Consider the following 20061-nt stretch of genomic DNA (forward strand, 5'->3'; position numbering starts at 1 on the left):
GTTCACTCACTCTATTTAATGTCTCTTCTTTTTCATCGTTGTTTGGGCCTTAATTTTAGTCTAGTTAGTAAAGCTAACAGTGGAGAGGATTTTAGAGTAGCTCTTTCCACTGAAAGAGAATCTGTTGGTGAACTTATATTTTAATTTCTTGGCTTGCTTGACGTATTCTTTTCCATCTCTTTTCTTGGGTCTCCTGTTTACTCAATGCATATTTGACAAGGAATTGCTATAAATACCCAGAATTATCTGACTATAAAAAATCACTTTCAAATTATTTAATTGTTTGCATCTTTCTTGGTTGGTAGAAACATCCCAGAACACTTAGTAGTAAAGAGGGAAGAAGGAAGTTCCATTTTTCCATTTATCCATTTAAGATTTTTCTTTTCTTTTTGGTGGGGTAGATGGGCAGAAATAAAATATAATAAAGTATTAATAGTGAAAGGATAATAAAAAGAACACTGGTATTGTATATTCAGGTGACTTAAAATTCTCTGTTATAGAATTAATTTTATTCTTCAGGAAATTCTAGCAAGGTAGTAATAATGTGGATGAGATGATTCAAAAGGTACCCAAGGAACTGTCAGCGATGTCCTAAAGGTGGAGGATGTGAACCTGTTTTATTTTGGTGGAGAGAGTTGGAGGGGAGTTAGGAGGCAAAGAATTGCTATCAGGATTTCTAGACAGATGTTGTCATGTGTAATTAGTATGTCACCTATTTTTCTTTTCTTCACTATCAGTCAAATATTACTGAGTAACAACCAAGCACAAAATCTCAGTGAGACACAGTGATATGCTTATTTCTTTCTCTTTTTTTTTGGGAGGGAGGGGGGAAGACAGGGTCTCACTCTGTCACCCAGGCTGGAGTACAGTGGTGCAATCATGGCTTACTACAGCCTTGACCTCCCAGGGCTCAAGCGATCCTCCCACCTCAGCCTTCTGAGTAACTGGGAGTACACCACCATCCCTGGCTATTTTTTATAATTGTTTTTATAGATGAGGATCTCACTATGTTGCCCAGGCTTGTCTTAAACTCTTAGGTCCAAGCCATCCTACTGCCTCAGCCACGCAAATTGCTGGGATTACAAAAGTGAGCCACCATGCCAGGCCTAATTTATTATATATTAATTAAGCGTTGGCTGATCAAGGCAGCTTGGCCGGGCAGCCATGCTTCAAGCTATGGATCTGACTGGGGTTGGTTCACCACTGCTGGTTAGTTCTGATCTGCTCCAGGTGTGTTCATTCTGGGGCTCAGGATGAAGGTGCTCTGGCTACCCACGGAAAGCCCTTCTGGCCATGGCAGAGACACAGAAGTAAGTGAACAAAGGATCTCTTTAGACATTTGTCAAAAGACAATATACAAATGATCAATAAGGACATGAAAAATTGTTCAACATCACTAGTTATTACATAAATGCAAATCAAAACCACAATGAGATACCACTGCACACACACTAGGATGGCTATAATAAAAAAGTTAGATAGTACCAATTGTTGGTGAGCATGTGAAGAAATCATATACTGCTGCGGGAATGTAAAATAATACAACCACTTTAGAAAACTGTTTGATAAGTTCTTCAAATGGTTAAACATAGAGTTACCATATAACCCAAGAACTCCACTCCTAGATATATACTCAAGAGATCTGAAAACATACATCCACACAAAAACTTGTACACAAATGTTTAAGTAGCATTATTCATGATAGCCATGGAGATATAGAAACAACCCAAATGTTCATCAACTGACAAATGGATAAATAAAATGGGAAGTATCCATATTATAATGGAATATTATTTAGCCACAAAAGGAATTAAGTTCTGATTCATGCTACAACATGGATGAAACTTGAGTACACTGTGCCAGGTATTAAGAGGCCAGTCGTAAGGATTATGTATTGTGTGATTCTTTTTATATGAAATGTCCAGAATAGGCAAATCCATAGAGACAGAAAGTAAACTCCTGGTTACCAGAGGCCAGAGAGGGGAGTTGGAGAGAATGGGAAGTGGCTTCTAATAAGCATGAGGGGGTTCTGTTTGGGATGTTGAGAATAAAATTGATTGTGGTGATCATTATATGACTCTACTTTACTAAAAGCCACTGAATTATGTACTTTACATGGGTGAATTATATGTTATGTGAATATCTCAATAAAATTTATATACATACATACATACATATGTACATAGAGAAACATGCACTGACTCTTAAAGTCTGGTCTTGAAATTAGCACACTGTCACTTCTACTTGTATTCTAATGAGCAAAGTAAGTCACATGGCAGAGCCCAAAGTCAAGAAGTGGGGAAGTGCATTTGGCCTTTACTAGGAGGAACAGCAAAGTTACATGGCAAAATACATGGACACAAGGTGAGGTGAAGAATTGATGCCAATAATTTAATCTACCACACCACACTAATATTTTCCCTTTTTCTTCCTATTCATGTTCTAGGCCTCATTCAAAGACCACACAACAGCTGGCCATTACTGCTACTGTATTGAAATATTCAATATGGATACCTGAAAACAACACTTAAATAACTATAATTGTTTTTCTTTCCTTATAAAGATTGCATCAAGAATTGTGCTTCTTTAAAATGTTTTATTTGGACAATTTTTCCCCATACTTGGATTTTCTCTGCAACATCTGGTTAAAATGGGCTAAAATTTTCATATTCAAAAAGGATCATGCCCTTTTTTTTTTTTTTTTTTTTTTGAGATGGGGGTCTCACTCTGTCACCCAGGCTAGAGTGCAGTGGCGTGATCTCGGCTCACTGCAACCTCCACCTCCTGGGCTCTTGCAGTCCTCCCACCTCAGCCTCCTGAGTAGCTGGGAGTACAAGTGCGTGCCACCATGCCCGACTAATTTTTTGCATTTTTGACAAAGACGGGGTTTCACCATGTTGTCCCGGATGATCTCAAACTCCTGAGCTCAAGCCATCCCCCCACCTTGGCCTCCCAAAGTGCTGGGATTACAGGTGTACTCTGTGCCCAGCTAGGATTATGTACCCTGTGCCCAGCTAGGATTATGTTCTTAAGATACATCCTCCAGGGCAATACAAGCTTTCGTGAAATAAAAACAAGTGGAAATTACCTAATTACCTGCTTCTGTCTCTCTCTCTCTCTCTCTCTCTCTCTATATATATATATATATATATATGTATATATATATAGACACATAGAGACACTCTATATATATAGACACATAGAGACACTATATATATATAGACACATAGAGACACTATATATATACACACACACATACATATATATATATATAAAATAGTTACCTAATTACCTGCTACTTTCTCTCTATATATATATATATGTATATATACACATAGAGTGTAGGAGGTAATTCATATATATAAAATCTATATTGATAGATAGATAGAGTGAGTGAGTGAGTGAGTGAAGGTCTTTCTCTGTTACACATGCTGGAGTGCAGTGACATGATCGTAGCTCACTGCAGCCCTGAACTCCTGGGTTCAAGTGATCCGCCTGCCTCAGCCTCCCAAAGAGCTGGGATTACAGACATGAGTCACCACACCCAGCCCTGCTACAAAATATTTAAAACAACTTGGTTAACTCCAGTGCTGTTCATTGTAGTAGTTCAACTGGGACTTTCATCTGACACTTCAAATAAAAAAAATGTAAATACCCTTGCTGGACAGTAAGAGTAGATCCCAGGGAAACCCAAACTCTTTGACTGCAGTGAGATTTTATTTTTCTTTCAATAAGTATATGAGACTTAAACTCTTTGTGGGCATTTATTTTTCTATATAAAACATAAAAAAATTTTATTATTCATATTATTCAACTTAATACATACATCTCTGTGCCAAACTCTGATTATTGCACTGGGATAAATTTCTAGAAGTGGAATTGGCCAGGCATGATGGCTCACGTCTGTAATCCCAGCACTTTGGGAGGCTGAGGCAGGAGGATCATTTGAGCCCAGGAGTTTGAGACCAGCCTTGACAACACAGTGAAGATAGCATGTAGAAAAAAGTAATAACTTATTTCTAGCTTGTAGTACTTACAGTGGATTAGGTGGTACACATACAGATTTTATGGTGTATTCCTGCATTGCTTTTTTAAACAGGTAAACACAATTGCCCAAACATTAGATGAATACTTCTGATACTTGCTAATCTATATTTCTCTCTACAGTATCATGAGGAACCTCAGTGATACAGAAGAAGTGCTTTAAAAATAAAAGTTAATAGGCCGGGTATGGTGGCTTACACCTGTAATCCCAGCACTTTGGGAAGCCAAGGTGGGTGGATCACCTGAGGTCAGAAGTTCCAGACTAGCCTGGCCAATATGGTGAAACCCCATCTCTACTAAAAATACAAAAATTAGCCTGGCATGGTGGCACATGCTTGTAGTCCCAGCTACTTGAGAGGCTGAGGCTGGAGGATCACTTGATCCTGGGAGACAGAGTTTGCAGTGAGCTGAGGTTGCACCACTGCACTCCAGCCTGGGCAATAGAGCAAGACTCTGTCTCAAAAATAAATAAATAAATAAATAAATAAAAGGTAATAGAGATCAATTCTGAATTTTGTAAAACGTTTCAAGCTTTTGAAATGTTCATACCTTCCTATCCAGTAGTTCTACTTCTATTTTTTAAAATTTTTTGTAGAGACAGGTCTCACTATGTTGCCCAGTTAGGTCTTGGACTCCTGGGCTCAAATGATCCTTCTGTCTCAGCCTCCCAAAGTGCTAAGATTACAGACATGAGCCACCACACCTGGCCAATTCTACTTCTAGAAATTTATTCTAATGCAGTAATCAGAGTTTGGCATAGAGATGTATATATTAAGTTGAATAATATGAAATTGCTGATATTTGACCATTTTTCACCTTCAACAATGACAATTATATATGGTTTAATCTAATGCAAAGATGTTAATCACAGTGTTAATTATGATGTGGATAGCTAGGGATGAGTGAAATGTCCAACAATAAAGTATTGGTTTAATAAATTATGGCAACCGATATACTAGAATTCTATGAAGCCACTAAAAATTGTAATGATTGAAATGTATTTTTATTGTCACAGAATGAGGAGGTTCCTGATGTATTAGGAGAAAATGATATCATAAAACAGAATGTATAATAAGATCTAATTTTTATTTAAAATTATATAAACATATATTTAGATTAAAAAATTAGAATAATATACACCAAAATGTTCATGGTAATTATCTCTTAGTTGTAAGATTGTGATATGGTTTGACTCTGTGTCCGCACCCAAATCTCATCTTGAATGGTACCCCCATAATTCCCACATGTTGTGGGAGGGACCTGGTGGGAGATAATTGAATCATGGGGGCAGTTTTCTCCATACTGTCCTCTTGGTAGTTAATAAGTCTCATGAGATCTAATGGTTTTATCAGGGGTTTCCACTTTTGCATCTTCCTCTCTCTCTCTTTGCCTGCTGCCATCCATGTAAGACGTGACTTGCTCCTCCTTGCCATCTGCCATGATTGTGAGGCTTCCCCAGCCACATGGAACTATAAGTCCAATTAAACCTCTTTCTTTTGTAAATTGCCCAGTCTCGAGTATGTCTTTATCAGCAGTGTGAAAATGGACAAATACAGATTGCCTGTCATTTTTACAGTCTACATTAGGATTTCTGTTTTTTTTGTTTTTGTTTTTTGTTTTGTTTTGTTTTGAGACAGGGTCTCATTCTGACACCCAGGCTGGAGAGCAGTGGTGCAATCTCAGTTCACTGCAACCTCTGCCTACCGGGCTGAAGCAATCCTCCCACCTCGGCCTCCTGAGTAGCTAGGACTACAGGCATATGCCACCATGCTCAGCTAAATTTTTATATATTTTTTGTAGAGACAGAGTTTCACCATGTTTCCCAGGCTGATCTCAAACTCCTGGGCTCAAGTGATCCACCTGCTTCAGTCTCCCAAATTGCTGGGATTATACATGTGAGCCACCGTGCCTGGCCTGTATTTTCTAATTTTTGACAATAGAGTATAATTTTATTATATAAAAATCAATTCCATGAGAAAATAATAAGTCATGATCATCTGTGATAGGAAGAGACAGAAAGAATTTTGGCCCCATCTCTACAAAAAAGTTTTAAAATTCGCCAGGCCTAGTGGTGCAGGCCTGTAGTCCTAGCAGCTCAGGAGGCAAGAGGATCACTTGAGCCCATGAGGTTGAGAGTACAGTGAGCCATGATGGCAACATTGCACTCCAGCCTAGGCAACAGAGTGAGACTCTGTCTCAAAGGAAAAAAGAAAAGAGTTTTGGAATCTGTATGGTTGAACCCAGTATTATTTTAAAGTATGATGTACAATGAAAAAGGTTGCATTTAGGAAATCTTGTTTCTAGCTTATAGTACTTACAACAGGTTAGATGGTACACATACTTCTTAGCTAGGGATTCAGGCCACCCCAAAGTTGTATTATACGACACTGTTGCTTCCCAAATTCTGTTCCCACCCTCAACTTTGCTCTTCTTTTCTCCCAAACATACTCCAAATGGCCTCACCTCTGTTCCTTTGAGTAGGCTGCTCCTGCTACCGGAAATTTTCTGCCCACCTTCTCTGTTAGTTGAAATGTCATTTATCCTTCAAGGTTTAAGTAACTGTCACCTCTTCCCTGAAGCGTCCCCTAATCCCTCCATTCAAAAACGAACCACTTTTCTCCTCAATCCCTTCCAATAACATTCGTTAGCAACCGCTGGCACTTGCCTAATATCCCACTGGTTGCTGTCTGCTGCTGGAGGGCAGGGACTAGGTCTGAGCCATGTCTGTAGCTTCTAGAGTCTCCAGAACAGTGTCACGAACCCACTGGGCTCTCCAATTTGGGTCTGGCAAGGCTTGTATGATCTGGCTTTTGCCTGCTGCCTTAGCCTGATTTCTAGCCACCCTCCTCCTTTCTGCAGCTACACTGGCCTTTTGTCAGTTCCTCAAATGTGCCAAGTACTTTCCTCCCTTGGGGCTGTTGCCCACACTGTCCTCTCTGCCTGAAATGCTTTCTCATCCATTCTTCATCTTGTTAACTCTAACTCATCCTTCTCTCTCTGCTTAAAACATCACTTCTCAAGAAAGCCTGCCCTGACCTCTCAGAAAAAAACCTGCATAGTTATCACCCAGCCACAATCTCATAAGCTTGTAGTCATGGGAGAAGGGGTGAATGAGGGAAAGTGGAGGACTCCAAACAGACTCACCCACTCTCTCCACCACCATGACTAGGAGACGCACACTAAATGCCTGCCCTGTGGGCTGTCAGTCAGGAGGTTAACACAAGACCTGCTCCTTTTCTAGGATGCCCTATGCCTCCCAGCCTATTCCTTTGCTCCTTGGGGCATAATGATTTTTAAGACTCTCCCAAGCTTCTCTCATTCAGAAGAGCAGCAAAATGTGTCAGAAAGAAGGATCAGATCATGTGGGTCCTAAATCTTGATTTGCTGTGGAGAGGCCTCACATCTTGAAACCTTGTGAACTTTTGGTCCTTGGCGATCAGGAATTTGAGATTGGAACGAAGTAATGCAAGTGAAGAATAAAGTTATTGGAACTCAAAGGTAAGGGTGGAGAGTAGAGAAAAAGCACATACAGGAGCAGGACCTGTACTAAGGAATATTAGGGCAGAACGACGGCGTTCTAGTTTTGTTGGTTTTGGAAGGGCATCCCATGACATTCGACTGCTTCAGAGTTGTGAACATTGCCTAAAATTAGCCTCTTATGCAGAGGTTACAAATTGGCAATTGCAGGCAGAATCTGGTCCTCAGACTTGTTTTATTTTTTATATTTATTTATTTATTTATTTATTTATTTATTTATTTATTTTATTGAGATAGAGTCTCACTCTGTTGCCCAGGCTGGAGTGCAGTGGCACAATCTCAGCTCACAGCAACCTCCGCCTCCCGGGTTCAAGCGATTCTCGTGCCTCAAGCTCCCGAGTAGCTGGGATTACAGGCTCACTCCACCACGCCCAGCTATTTTTGTATTTTTAGTAGAGATGGGGTTTCATCATGTTGGCCAGGCTGGTCTCGAACTCCTGACCTCAAGTCATCTGCCACCCTCCTGGGCCTTCCAAAGTACTGGGATTATAGGCCTGAGCCACTGCGCCCGGACTTCAGATTTGTTTTAATTGGCTGGCACAGTGTTAATAAAACATATTTTAATTAGTCACCAACATTAAAGATTGGAAGATTTCATATAAAATGTTTTACTTCTGGCTTCTCTTGAAAAACCAAAAACTCTGGCACCCAGCTCCACATTCCCATCCAGGACAACATTCAGCTGGAGTTGAGTAGGGGCTGTTCATCACCCTTTTTTTTTTTTTTTTTTTTTTTTTTTTGAGATGGAGTCTCACTCTGTCACCCAGGCTGGAGTGCCGTGGCAGATCTCGGCTCACTGCAACCTCCACCTCCTGGTTTCAAACAACTCTCCTGCCTCAGCCTTCTGAGGAGCTGGAACTACAGGCGTATGCCACCACGCCCAGCTAATTTTTGTATTTTTAGTAGAGACAGAGTTTCACTATGTTGGCCAGGCTGGTCTCGAACTCCTGACCTCAGGTGATCCACCCGCCTTGGCCTCCTAAAGTGCTGGGATTACAAGTGTGAGCCACTGCACCCAGTCTGCTTCCCTTTTATGTTACCTGACTGGCTCTGTAGACATTTGGGTTTGAAACCCTTTATTTATTTATTTATTTTTTTTGAGATGGAGTTTCACTCTTGTTGCCCAGGCTGGAGTGCAGTGGCCAATCTCGACTCACTGCAACCTCTGCCACATGGGTCCAAGTGATTCTCCTGCCCTAGCCTCCCGTGTAGCTGGGATTATAGGTGTGCACCACCAAGCCCGGCTAATTTTGTATTTTTAGTAGAGATGGAGTTTCACTATGTTGGCCAAGCTGGTCTCGAACTCCTGACATCAGGTAATCAGCCCACCTCTGCCTCCCAAAGTGCTGGGATTACAGGTGTGAGCCACCATGTCCGTCAAAACCCTTGATTTTTTTTTTTGGAAGGGATTTGTTGTGGTGGTGGTGGTGGTGGTAGTTTTTTTGTTTGTTTGTTTGTTTGTTTTTGTTTTGACAAAGTCTTGCTCTGTCACCCAGTCTGGAGGGCAGTGGTGCAATCTAGGCTCATTCAAGTCTCGACCTCCCGGGCTCAGGCGATCCCTCCTACCTCAGCCTCTTAAGTAGCTGGGATGACAGGTGCACACCACATGCCTGGCTAATTTTTGTATTTTTTGTAGAGACAGGGTTTCACCATGTTGCGCAGGCTGGTCTCAAACTTCTGGGCTCAAGCAATATGCCCGCCGTAGCCTTCCAAAGTGCTCGGATTACAGGCGTAAGCCACCACACCCAACTTTAAGAGTTTTATTATGGGAAATATCAATCATACATTAAGGTTGAAAGAATGGTAAGATTAGCTCCCATGCATGCATCACCCTCTTTCAACAATACTCATTCATAGCCAATCTTATTTCATTAATACCCTCACCCATTCTCCAACTCCCCGTCTTCCCCCACCCTGTTATTTTGAAGCAAATCCAGACATCATATTATTTTATTAGCAAATATTTTAATATGTTTCTCTAAAAGATAGACCCTTTTAATGAACAGAATCACAGTATCATTATCACAGTTAAAACATGGCCAATTCTTTACTATTACCAAATATCCAGTCTGATCACTATTTAATTCTTCTCTATGTTATTCACCACATTTGATTTCATTTCTTTGAGGAAAAAGAAGTGGGAAAGGTAGGTCTGGGAAAGGGAAGTGGGAATAGAAATATGAATATGACACTTTGATCTCCAGAAGGCCATGGATGAAATGATTCCTTATGTCTGTACAATACGTTTAACTCTTTACACTTTTCTGATTTTTTGAAATATGTCTGATTTCACTTGATCCCTAGAACAACTTTGTATACACAGCGAAGAGTATTGTGCTTAAAATTTTGTCAGACAAAATAGATACAGTGGGTTAAGTGGTTTAACTTACAGAGATAGTAATAGAACTGTAACAAGAACCTAGACCACCTGACTCCTAATTAGGCCTCTTTCCATCTTGCCACATATGAAAGATGGCAGGAGAGGTTATGATGTGATGATAGGAGACAGTATGGAGAGATAGTAGTGAACATTTCTGGAGCACTTACTCTGTGGCTGGGGGTTATACTATCTACATTACGTATGTTATATCATTTATTCTTCTCATCCACTGTCTATGATTCCACTCTTATAGAGAAGGGCACTGAAGATATGGAGGTTAAAATGTTCCCGGGAACAAACAGCTGGGAGATGGCAGAGCTGGAATTGGCAGCCAGATCATTGTAATACTAGCATCACAGTGCATGACCACTATGTTACACTTGACAAAGCACAAGTTCTGGAGTCAGACGGACTTGACTTTGAATCCTGGCTTTTAGTCACTTTGTGACTGTGGGTAACAGCTTCCTCATCTTTAAATGGGATTCAGAGTACCTAACTCTTAATGTGAGGATCAAATAAGATCATCTGTGGGCCAGGTGCAGTGGCTCACGCCTGTAATCCCAGCACTTTGGGAGGCAGAGGCGGGCAGATCACTTGAGGTCAGGAGTTCGAGACCAGCCTGGCCAACAGCAATCCTCCCACCTTGGCCTCCCAAAGTGCTGGAATGAGCCACTGTGCCTGGCCCCCAGCTAACTTTTATTGGCCTCAGAGATGGGCTGGTTGCTTGAGGTCAGGAGTTCAAGACCAGCCTGGCCAACATCTCTCTAAAAATACAAAAATTAGCCAGGCATGGTAGCACACACCTGTAGTTCCAGTTACTCGGGAGGCTGAGGCATAAGAATCGCTTGAACCCAGCAGGCGGAGGTTGCAGTGAGCTGAGTTCGTACCACTGTACTCCAGACTGGGTGACAGAGCAAGATTCCATCTAACAAAGAAAGAAAGAAAGAAAGAAGAAAAAGAAAGAAAGAAAGAAAGAAGAAAAAGAAAGAAAGAAAGAAAGAAAGAAAGAAAGAAAGAAAGAAAGAAAGAAAGAAAGAAAGAAAGAAAGAAAGAATCACCCATGTAAATTATTTAGTACATCACCTGGCACAGAGTAAAGGCTCAATAAATGTAAGCTACCGAAAAAGGGAGGAGGGAGATTATAAAAGCACTATCTCCACCAATGTGTCCCAGCCAAAGGAAATTTATCTCCTTTCTGATCAGCCCCTTAAACTAGTCCCATCTCATATTATCCCAGCAATATGTGATTCATAATCAGCGTTTCTCTACATTTTTATACTTGGAATAAAATGACAGTATATTTTATACTTTGAAATTAAAGAGCGTTTTAATTCTAAGGATTTCTATTCTCAAAGGCACAATAGGTTTGCTGTGGAAATTCCAAATCCAGTCTGCTATAAGCTGCATGGGCTCTTGTCCTTTCATCTTATGAAACATTTGAAAACTAGTACCAAGTGATTCTGGGAAAACTTTTCTGTAGTTGAAGGAAAAGATGTATAACTGAGAAAGTCCTTGGATGGTGTGAAAATTGTACAAATTTCATAAATGTGGTGGGGGTGAGGGAGTAAAAGAAGTGTGATTTCCAGCTTCCCCTATTGCCCCCTATCTCTGAGCACCTACAGATTCCCAAGTATTTTAGGCAGGAAAGTAGGAGTACAAAAGTGGTTAGGCAGGACTGAACAAAAGTGGTGCAGCATGTACCAAGCAGAAGCAATTAATTTCCAGAAAGATGATTCCTATGTTCCAAGAGCCAAGAGCCAGAAGAGGCAGGGGCCATGGCCAGGTCTGTTAACTTTTTTTTTTTTTTGACAGAGTCTTACTCTGTCACCAAGGCTGGAGTGCAGTGGCATGATCACGGCTCACTATAGCCTCAACCCTCTGGGCTCAAGCAATCTTCCTACCCTAGCTTCCTGAGTAGCTGGGACCACAGGCGCTGCCACCATGCCCAACTAATTTTACATTTTTTGTAGAGATGGGTTCTCTCTCTGTTGCCCAGGCTGGTCTCGAACTACTGGGCTCAAGCGATCCTCCCACCTTGGCCTCCCAAAGTGCTGGGATTAGAGGAATGAGCCACTGTACCTGGCCTCCTGCTAACTTTTATTGGCCTCAGAGATAGGTTGAGGGCAGAGAGGAACAAGGTCAGTGAAAGAATAATCCTTTGCACAGCTTTTACTGAGCAAACGTATTAGTTTCCTGTAGCTGCTATAACATATTATCATAGATTTCATGGCTTAAAACATAAACTTATTTAGCATATGAGCCTGGGTATGCTGGCTCATGCCTGTAATCCCAACGCTTTGGGAGGCTGCAGTGGGAGGATCCCTTGAGGCCAGGAGTTTGAGACCAGCATGGGCAACAAAAAGAGATCCTGCCTCTACAAAAGATATAAAATTTGCTGGGTGTGGTGGACATGCCTGTAGTCCCAGCCTCTTGGGAGGCTGAGGCGGGAGGATGGTTTGAAATCCAAGAATTTGAGGCTGCAGTGAGCCATGATGGAATGATTGTACTCCAGCCTGGGTTAGAGTGGGACACTATTACTAAGTGCGGGGGGAAAGGTATCAGTGGCACCGCATTCACTTCTGGAGGCTCTTGGGGAGAAATTGTTTCCAGCCCAGCCCACATTCCTTGGCTCCTGGCCCCCTCCTCCATCTTCAAAGCTAGTAATTGTGAGTCTAGATTTTTCACATCTCATCATTCTGACCTAGCCACCTATTCTTCTTCCTTTCTCTTTTACTTTTAAGGACCCTTGTGCTTACATTAGGCCCACCTAGAGAATCTCTCTTTCTCTCTCTTTTTGACAGATGAGGTCTCATCTCTCACTCTCCATTCTCTCTCTCTCTCGTTTTTGTTTGTTTGTTTTGCTTTGTTTGTTTTTTACAGATAAAGTCTCATTGTGTCACCCAGGCTAGAGTGCAGTGGCGTGACCAAAGCTCACTGCAGCCTTGAACTCCTGGGCATAAGCCATCCTCCTGATGCTCCCGCCTCAATCTCCCAAGTAGCTGGGATTACAGGTACACACCATTGCGTCTGGCTCTCCCTATTTTGAGGACATCAGATTAACAATCTTAATTCTATATTCTACCTTAATTCTCCTTTGCTACGTAACATAACACATTCACAGGTTCCAGGGATTAGGACACAGACGTCCTTGGGAGACTGGGGTTATTATTCCACTTACCACAGCTGCTGAATGTTGCAGAGAATTGGCCCTTGTTACCAAAGGGAGAAAAGATTGTGGGCAATTGTGAGACTCCAGCAATACTGACAGAATATTTAGGTTTTAGGTATTATTTGTAAAATAGCTTGTTATTTATCTACTCTTGAATGGGAAGATAGCATATTTGTAAATACGGCAATTTGTGCCAAACAATTTTCTAATTTTAATACAACTTTAATTAAAATGGAAAAATAAGCAAGAAAACAAAATAATAATTTAAAGAGTAATAAGTACAGATTCATCTCACCACATATTAGAACAAGATACAAAGCAGTAATGCTTAAAACTGTGATACTGCCTCGAAAGTGAAGTATTTATCAATAGAATGAAGGCAAGAGGTTGGAAATAACTTTAAGCACATATGACATTAACAGATGTCAAACATGCACCATAACACAATGAGTGAAGTATTTAATATTAAGTGAGCACTTGAGAACAACTGAATAGTAATGTGGAAAAATAAATTTAGAACTACCTATTTCCTACTATAGGGCACAATAGATCTCAGTTGGGATTTTAACTGAGTTAAAAATCAAGTAAAATTAAATCTAAAGAATAGAATAGATAGCTCTTCATAAACTCAATTATTTGAGGAAGTATAAATCCAGCTGTGAGAGAAGGATAATTTTTAAAGGATTAAAGCAATAAAAAAAACCCAGAAAGCGGCTGGGTGCCGTGGCTCACGGCTGTAATCCCAGCATTTTGGGAGGCCGAGTCAGGCAGATCACTTGAGGTCAGGAGTTCGAGACCAGTCTGGCCAACATAGTGAAACCTGCCTCTACTAAAAATACAAAAAATTAGCCAAGCATGGTGGCACGCCTGTAAAAACAAACACAAACAAACAAAGAAAACGAAACAAAACAAAACTCAGAAAGGAAAATGTGGACCACAAAGCGAAGAAAAAAATTCTATCCCACAATAGAATGTGGGGAATAGTGTGATAAGTGACAGATAAGTATTAGTTATTTTAAACATGTTTAAAAACTTGGCCTGGCCCGGTGGCTCATGCCTGTAATCCCAGCACTTTGAGAGGCCCAGGCGGGTGGATCACTTGAGGACAGGAGTTAGAGACCAGCCTGGCCAACATGGTGAAACCCCATCTCTACCAAAAAGATTTTAAAAATTAGCTGGGCGTGGTGGTGGGTGCCTGTAATCTCAGCTACTCAGGAGGCTGAGGCAGGAGAATCGCTTGAGCCTGGGAGGCAGAGGTTGCACTGAACCAAGATCGCTCCACCACACTCCAACCTGAGCGACAGAGTGAGACTCCATCTAAAAAAAAAAAAAAAAACCCAAACAAACAAACAAACAAAAACAAAAAATGTACTGAACTCTGAAAGGATACCACAAAATCCTTGAAGGTAAAATGTTTTAAAAGTAAAAGAATGACAATTTGCAGAAAAAAAGGTACAAAAATTAAATACTTGAAAAATATGTAAACCTTATTATGCGACAAGGAAATACAAACACAAAAAAGTACTGTTTTTATACCTATTTAATCAACAAAAAACATTTCTTTTTATTTTTGAGACAGAGTCTGTCTAATTTAAAAAATTAGCCTGGCTAATTTTTTGTATTTTTTGGTAGAGATGAGATTTTGCCATGTTGCATAGGCTGATCTTGAACTCCTGTACTCAAGCCGTCCACCTGAGGCCAGGCACGGTGGCTCATGCCTGTAATCCCACCACTTTGGGAGGCAGAGGCAGGCAGATCACCTGAGGTCAGGAGTTTAAGACCAGTCTGGCCAACATGGCAAAACCCTATTTCTACTAAAAATACAAAAATTAGCGGGGCATGGTGGCACAGCCTGTAATCTCAGCTACTCAGGAGCCTAAGGCAGGAGAATCGCTTGAACCCGGGAGGCAGATGTTGCAGTGAGCCGAGATCGCTGCCACTGCACTCCATCTTGGGTGACACAGTGAGACTCCATCTCAAAAAAAAAAAATTGATAAAATCCAATGTTCATGAGGCTGTGGGGAAATATGTATGTTGGAAGTGAAAATCATAACAACAGTAACCAACACTGTGTCCACCTTCTTCATAACATTTCTGTGCAAGGGAACTATTATTTCTCCCATTTTATAAATGAGGTAACTGCGACTCAGACAGGTGATGTAACTAGTCCACCATCACGTGGCTAGTATGAGCAGAACCAGTCTAAAAAAACTTTGTTGAAGTCCAAACCCTGTTTTTTGTTTTTTGAGAGAGTCTCACTCTGTCGCCCGGGCTGGAGTGCAATGGCACGATCTTGGTTCACTGTAACCTCTGCCTCCCAGATTCAAGAGATTCTTCAGCCCACCACCACGCCCGTATAATTTTTGTATTTTTAGTAGAGACGGGGTTTCACCAGGTTGGCCAGGCTGGTCTCGAACTCCTGACCTCAAATGACCCGCCTGCCTTGGCCTCACAAAGTGCTGGGATTACAGGCGTGAGCCACCGTGCCCAGCCAACCCTGTGTTCTTAACCAAAGCTCTATACAGCTCTCTATGGCAATATGTAACAAGAACAATGAAGAGATTCATACATTTTGACTATTCTAGCCCCAGAAATTTATCCTAAGAAAATAATTTCAAAGCATAAATCTCTTTGTTCTTAGATATGTATAGATGTATGTATATATATTTACATATATACACAAAGATGTTTATTAATTTAACAAATATCTGTTTGCTCATTATCTACCATGAAATAATATAAACAAATTATAATATATGAATGCAGACATTAAAATAATCAGTGTGAAGAATACTATAAAATATGCAAAAATAGGCCAGGTGCAGTGGCTCACACCTGTAATCCCAGCACTTTGGGAGGCTGAGGTAGGAGGATTGCTTGAGGCCAGGTGTTTGAAACCATAGCGAGACACTGTCTCTACAAAAGAAAAATAAAGAATACTAGCTGAGCATGGTGATGCGCACCTGTGGTTCTAGCTATTCAGGAAGCTGAGGCAGAAGGATCGCTGGATTCTGGGAGGCAGAAGTTGCAGTGAGGTCTCTTCTCACCACTGCACTCCAGCCTGGGCAACAGAGCAAGACCCTGACCCAAGTAAATAAATAAATGGCAAAAATGGACATCCTATATGTAAAAACAATTAGTCACAGGGTGAGAGATCCAAGAGCTAAATTTAGGCAGAGAGGTTATGAGACTTGGGATGGGGGTTGGGGGAACTGTCTAATAACATTTTGAGGGGTGACCCCTACCACTTGACATTTTTGATGCCAGGGTATACACTTTCACCTCAATTGCCTATAAAAACAAACTTTGCAACAATGGGTGATCTATGCGACCTGCATTTGGTGGGTAAGTCCTTTAGTTCGTCAGAGAATACCCTCTCTCCCCGTCCCACGAGCAGTAAGATGCTCCTCTTGCCGGGTTTCCCTAGAGCAGCCTGTTTTTTGAATGGGAAGTAAGGGGAGGCCAGAGTCCACTGGCCGACAGGCTCAGGTGACCAGTGGAGTCGGGCTTTCGGAGGGCACCTCCTATGGAATTTCAGCCCAGCCCAGAGGAAGGAATTATTTTCATTTACAGTGACTACACTGATCCCTTCTCTGGAATTAATTTGTGTTATGAGCTACCAGGGCATTCGACTTCCATTAACTGCCCCTCTTGACAATCTGAGACCCTCCAAAGAGCAGGTGATGGCTGTCATTCAGTGCACCTTGGAAGGGTTCTGAGGATGGTATTGAGCAGGGGGAGTGGTGGGGAGAGCCCTTTCATAGGTAGTCCATTTGAATTTGTAGACCCTTTCCAATTATGCCACTAATTGTTTAAAAGGATTGCAAGACTAAAAAAAAGTTTTAAATCACTAATCTGTTATTGAAAGGTCTTTTAAAAGTTAATTTTCTTCCTGAATACTTCTTAGTCAATACAGACTTGCAGGCCAAGATACCCTGCTGGGGTGCTGGCTAACACCTGGCTCAGCAGGCTTTCTTCTCTGATAATGAATTCTTCTTGCTTTTTGTAGGAAGGAGTTTGATGATATTAGGCCACTAGATTTAGGAAATATTTCCAGAAGTCCTGTGTTAGCCAATTGGAATTTCTCATTGGAAAAACTCTGCCATCAACAGACAATTTTTTCTCATATGACCTCATCTGGGGGCAGCTTGACAGCTATATCTGCCAACAGGTGGAAATGATGTGGCTGGAGCTTGTTGAGGGCATTCTAATGACCAAAAGAAGGGCAGAAGGAAATGAACTGATGTGATCATTCCAGGATATTTTCAAGTTAAAGATCTGTTGTGTGCATGGCACACTTTTACCTATGTAACAAACCTGCACTTCCTACACATTTATCTTGGAACTTAAAATAAAATAAAATAAAATTTAAAAAAGATCTGGTGTGTGCATATGTGTGTGTGCACATATGCATGTGTATGTGTGGAAAAGGAAGAGGGAGTGGGAACAGCCCCAAATGCAGAGCTCGCCATGAGACTTGGGAGGAGCAACTGAGTGCTCTGCTGCATACTGGGTCCCCAGAGGAAGAGGTTGTGGGTTGACCATCCTAGAGGTCAATGCTTAGTGTGGGGAAGCTCATCTTCACTATCCAAAAAGGGGTGGAAATTGACGTAGTTCCAAAATTTGGCCAACAAACTGGATTTGAAAACACAGCCAAATGGACAGTGGTGTCACAGATTCCAAATAAAATTTAACAACTATAGATTCACATCTACTGGGTGAAAGGGGAGAAAATGGAAAAAAGTGAATTCAGACATAAGTAAGATACAGCCCTCTGGTCCTGCATTGCTTAATTCCAGTTTGTGATGTTTATAATTTGCAGCATTTAAGGTACAAAACTTTTGTTGTGGATATATTCAGAGATAAATGTGCTGCTTATTTGCTATTTCTTTTTTACAATTTGTTTATTTTATTTTTTTCTTTTTGAGACAGAGTCTTGCTCTGTTGCACAGACTGGAGTGCAGTGAGGTCATCATGGCTCAGTGAAGCCTTCGCCTCCCAGGCTCAAGTGATCCTCCCACCTCAGCCTCCCAAGTAGCTGGGACTACATGAGTGTGTCACCACACCCAGAGAATTTTAAAATTTTTTGTAGAGACAGGGTCTCACTATGTTGCTCAGGCTGGCATTTGCTATTTGAGAACAATGCAGACATATTAAATGTGGAAAGCTGGACATGGTGGCATGTGCTTGTAGTCCCAGCTACTCAGGAAACTGAGGGCAAGAGGCTCGCTTGAGCCCAGGAATTTGAGTTCAGCCTAGGCAACATAGCCAGACACGGTAGGTATCTCAAAAGAAAAAAAGAAAAGGCCCGGTGCAAAGGCTCACCCCTATAATCCTAGCACTTTGAGAGGCCAAGGTGGGTGGATTGCTTGAGCTCAGGAGTTCAAGACCAGCCTGGGGAACATGGCGAAACCCCTTCTCTACAAAAAATACAAAAATTAGCCAGGTGTGGTGGCATGCACCTGTAGTCCCAGCTACTCAGGAGGCTGAGGTGGGAGGATCACTTGGGAGGTCAAGGCTGCAGTGAGCCATCATCGCACCATTGCACTCCAGCCTGGGTGACAGAGTGAGACCCTGTCTCAAAAAAAAAAAAAAAAAAAAAAGGATTAAAATAGGAGAGAGTGTGTGAAAATGCCTTCCCTGTACTTGGTTCCATATATAAGGGCTTTTCAGGTACAGTGACCTTGGGGAGGTGGGAAAAAAGTAGGACTATGGCATTTGATACACTCAAGACAGTTTTCTTCAAAAATAAAAGAACAGGACTTCCTTTGAATACAGGAGTGTAGAATTGCAAGAAACGCTCCACAAACTACTTTTTCATTTAAAAAATTATGGTGAAATATACATAACATGAACGTTTCCATCTTAAATTAGCTGGGTGTGATGGTGCTTGCCTGCAGTTCCAGTGCCTGTGGTCCATTAACTACTTTCATAGCTATTGTCTGATAAACTTAAAAAAAAACAAAAAACAAAAAACACCGCCAGGCGCGGTGGCTCATGCTTGTAATTCCAGCACTTTGAGAGGAGGAGGTGGGCAGATCGCTTGAGCCCAGGAGTTTGAGACAAGCCTGGGCAGCATGGCAAAACCCCATCTCTACAAAAAATACAAAACTTAGCAGGGTATGGTGGTGCATGCCTATAGTCCCAGCTACTGGGGAGGCTGAGGTAAGAGAATTGCTTGATCCCGGGAGGTTGAGGCTGCAGCGAGCTGAGATCGCGTCACTGCACTCCAGCCTGGGTGACAAGGAGACACTCTGTCTGAAAAAACAAACAAACAAAAATCACCAAAAGAGACACCCTTTGATTCAAACAAGCAGAGTTGGCCATATTCATGACTCGTTTTACCTTTCTTTTGAAAATATGAAGCTTCCAGATTCCAATGATATGGTTTGTTCACAGTCTGTCCTCCATTCACCTAGAAAAGGGGAGATTGCTTTCTCTTTTAAAAAGGAAAGCTTAAAACAGAGAAAAGGTTCAGGTAGAGGAACAAATGAGATCAAAATTCCCAATTTGATACTCAATGATTTTAAATGCTGAGTTTTTATCCAGAAATATTGCATGATGATATATTAAAATAAATCCTTAATAGAACAGAATGCTCAAGAAATGGGGATTATTCTTTTTAATGGCACTTTCTGATGAACTGAAAATTAACAAGAAACCCATGTTTTGTCTATTTCTATCCTTTACGTTGAAAAAATTGTGAAAATATGCATTAGTCCATTTTCCTCTCAAATTTGAAGAGTCTAGCAAACAAAATTAAACCTTTGATTCAAAGTCTTTGGCTTGAATTCTATCATAGGCACTTATCAGCTGTGTGATTTCAGGTAGGTTATTTAATCTCTTTTGTCTTAATTTCCTCATCTGCAAAATAGCGATAGTTATTAATTCATGCATAATGCATAGCATGGTATTTGGCATATTGTAAGCC

The 20061-nt window shown here is 41.2% G+C and overlaps 1 annotated feature.

The window, feature by feature from the left end:
- Window positions 14235–14446: a silencer, noted in NCBI's record as "fragment chrX:103481389-103481600 (GRCh37/hg19 assembly coordinates)". NCBI's record gives its function as "represses an EF-1alpha promoter that drives an FKBP-Casp9 reporter gene in an ReSE screen in K562 erythroleukemia cells {active_cell/tissue: K562}" and the evidence as "EXISTENCE:reporter gene assay evidence [ECO:0000049][PMID:32094911]".

Source organism: Homo sapiens, chromosome X (genome assembly GCF_000001405.40).
Source record: "Homo sapiens chromosome X, GRCh38.p14 Primary Assembly".
Classification (NCBI taxonomy): Eukaryota; Metazoa; Chordata; class Mammalia; order Primates; family Hominidae; genus Homo; species Homo sapiens.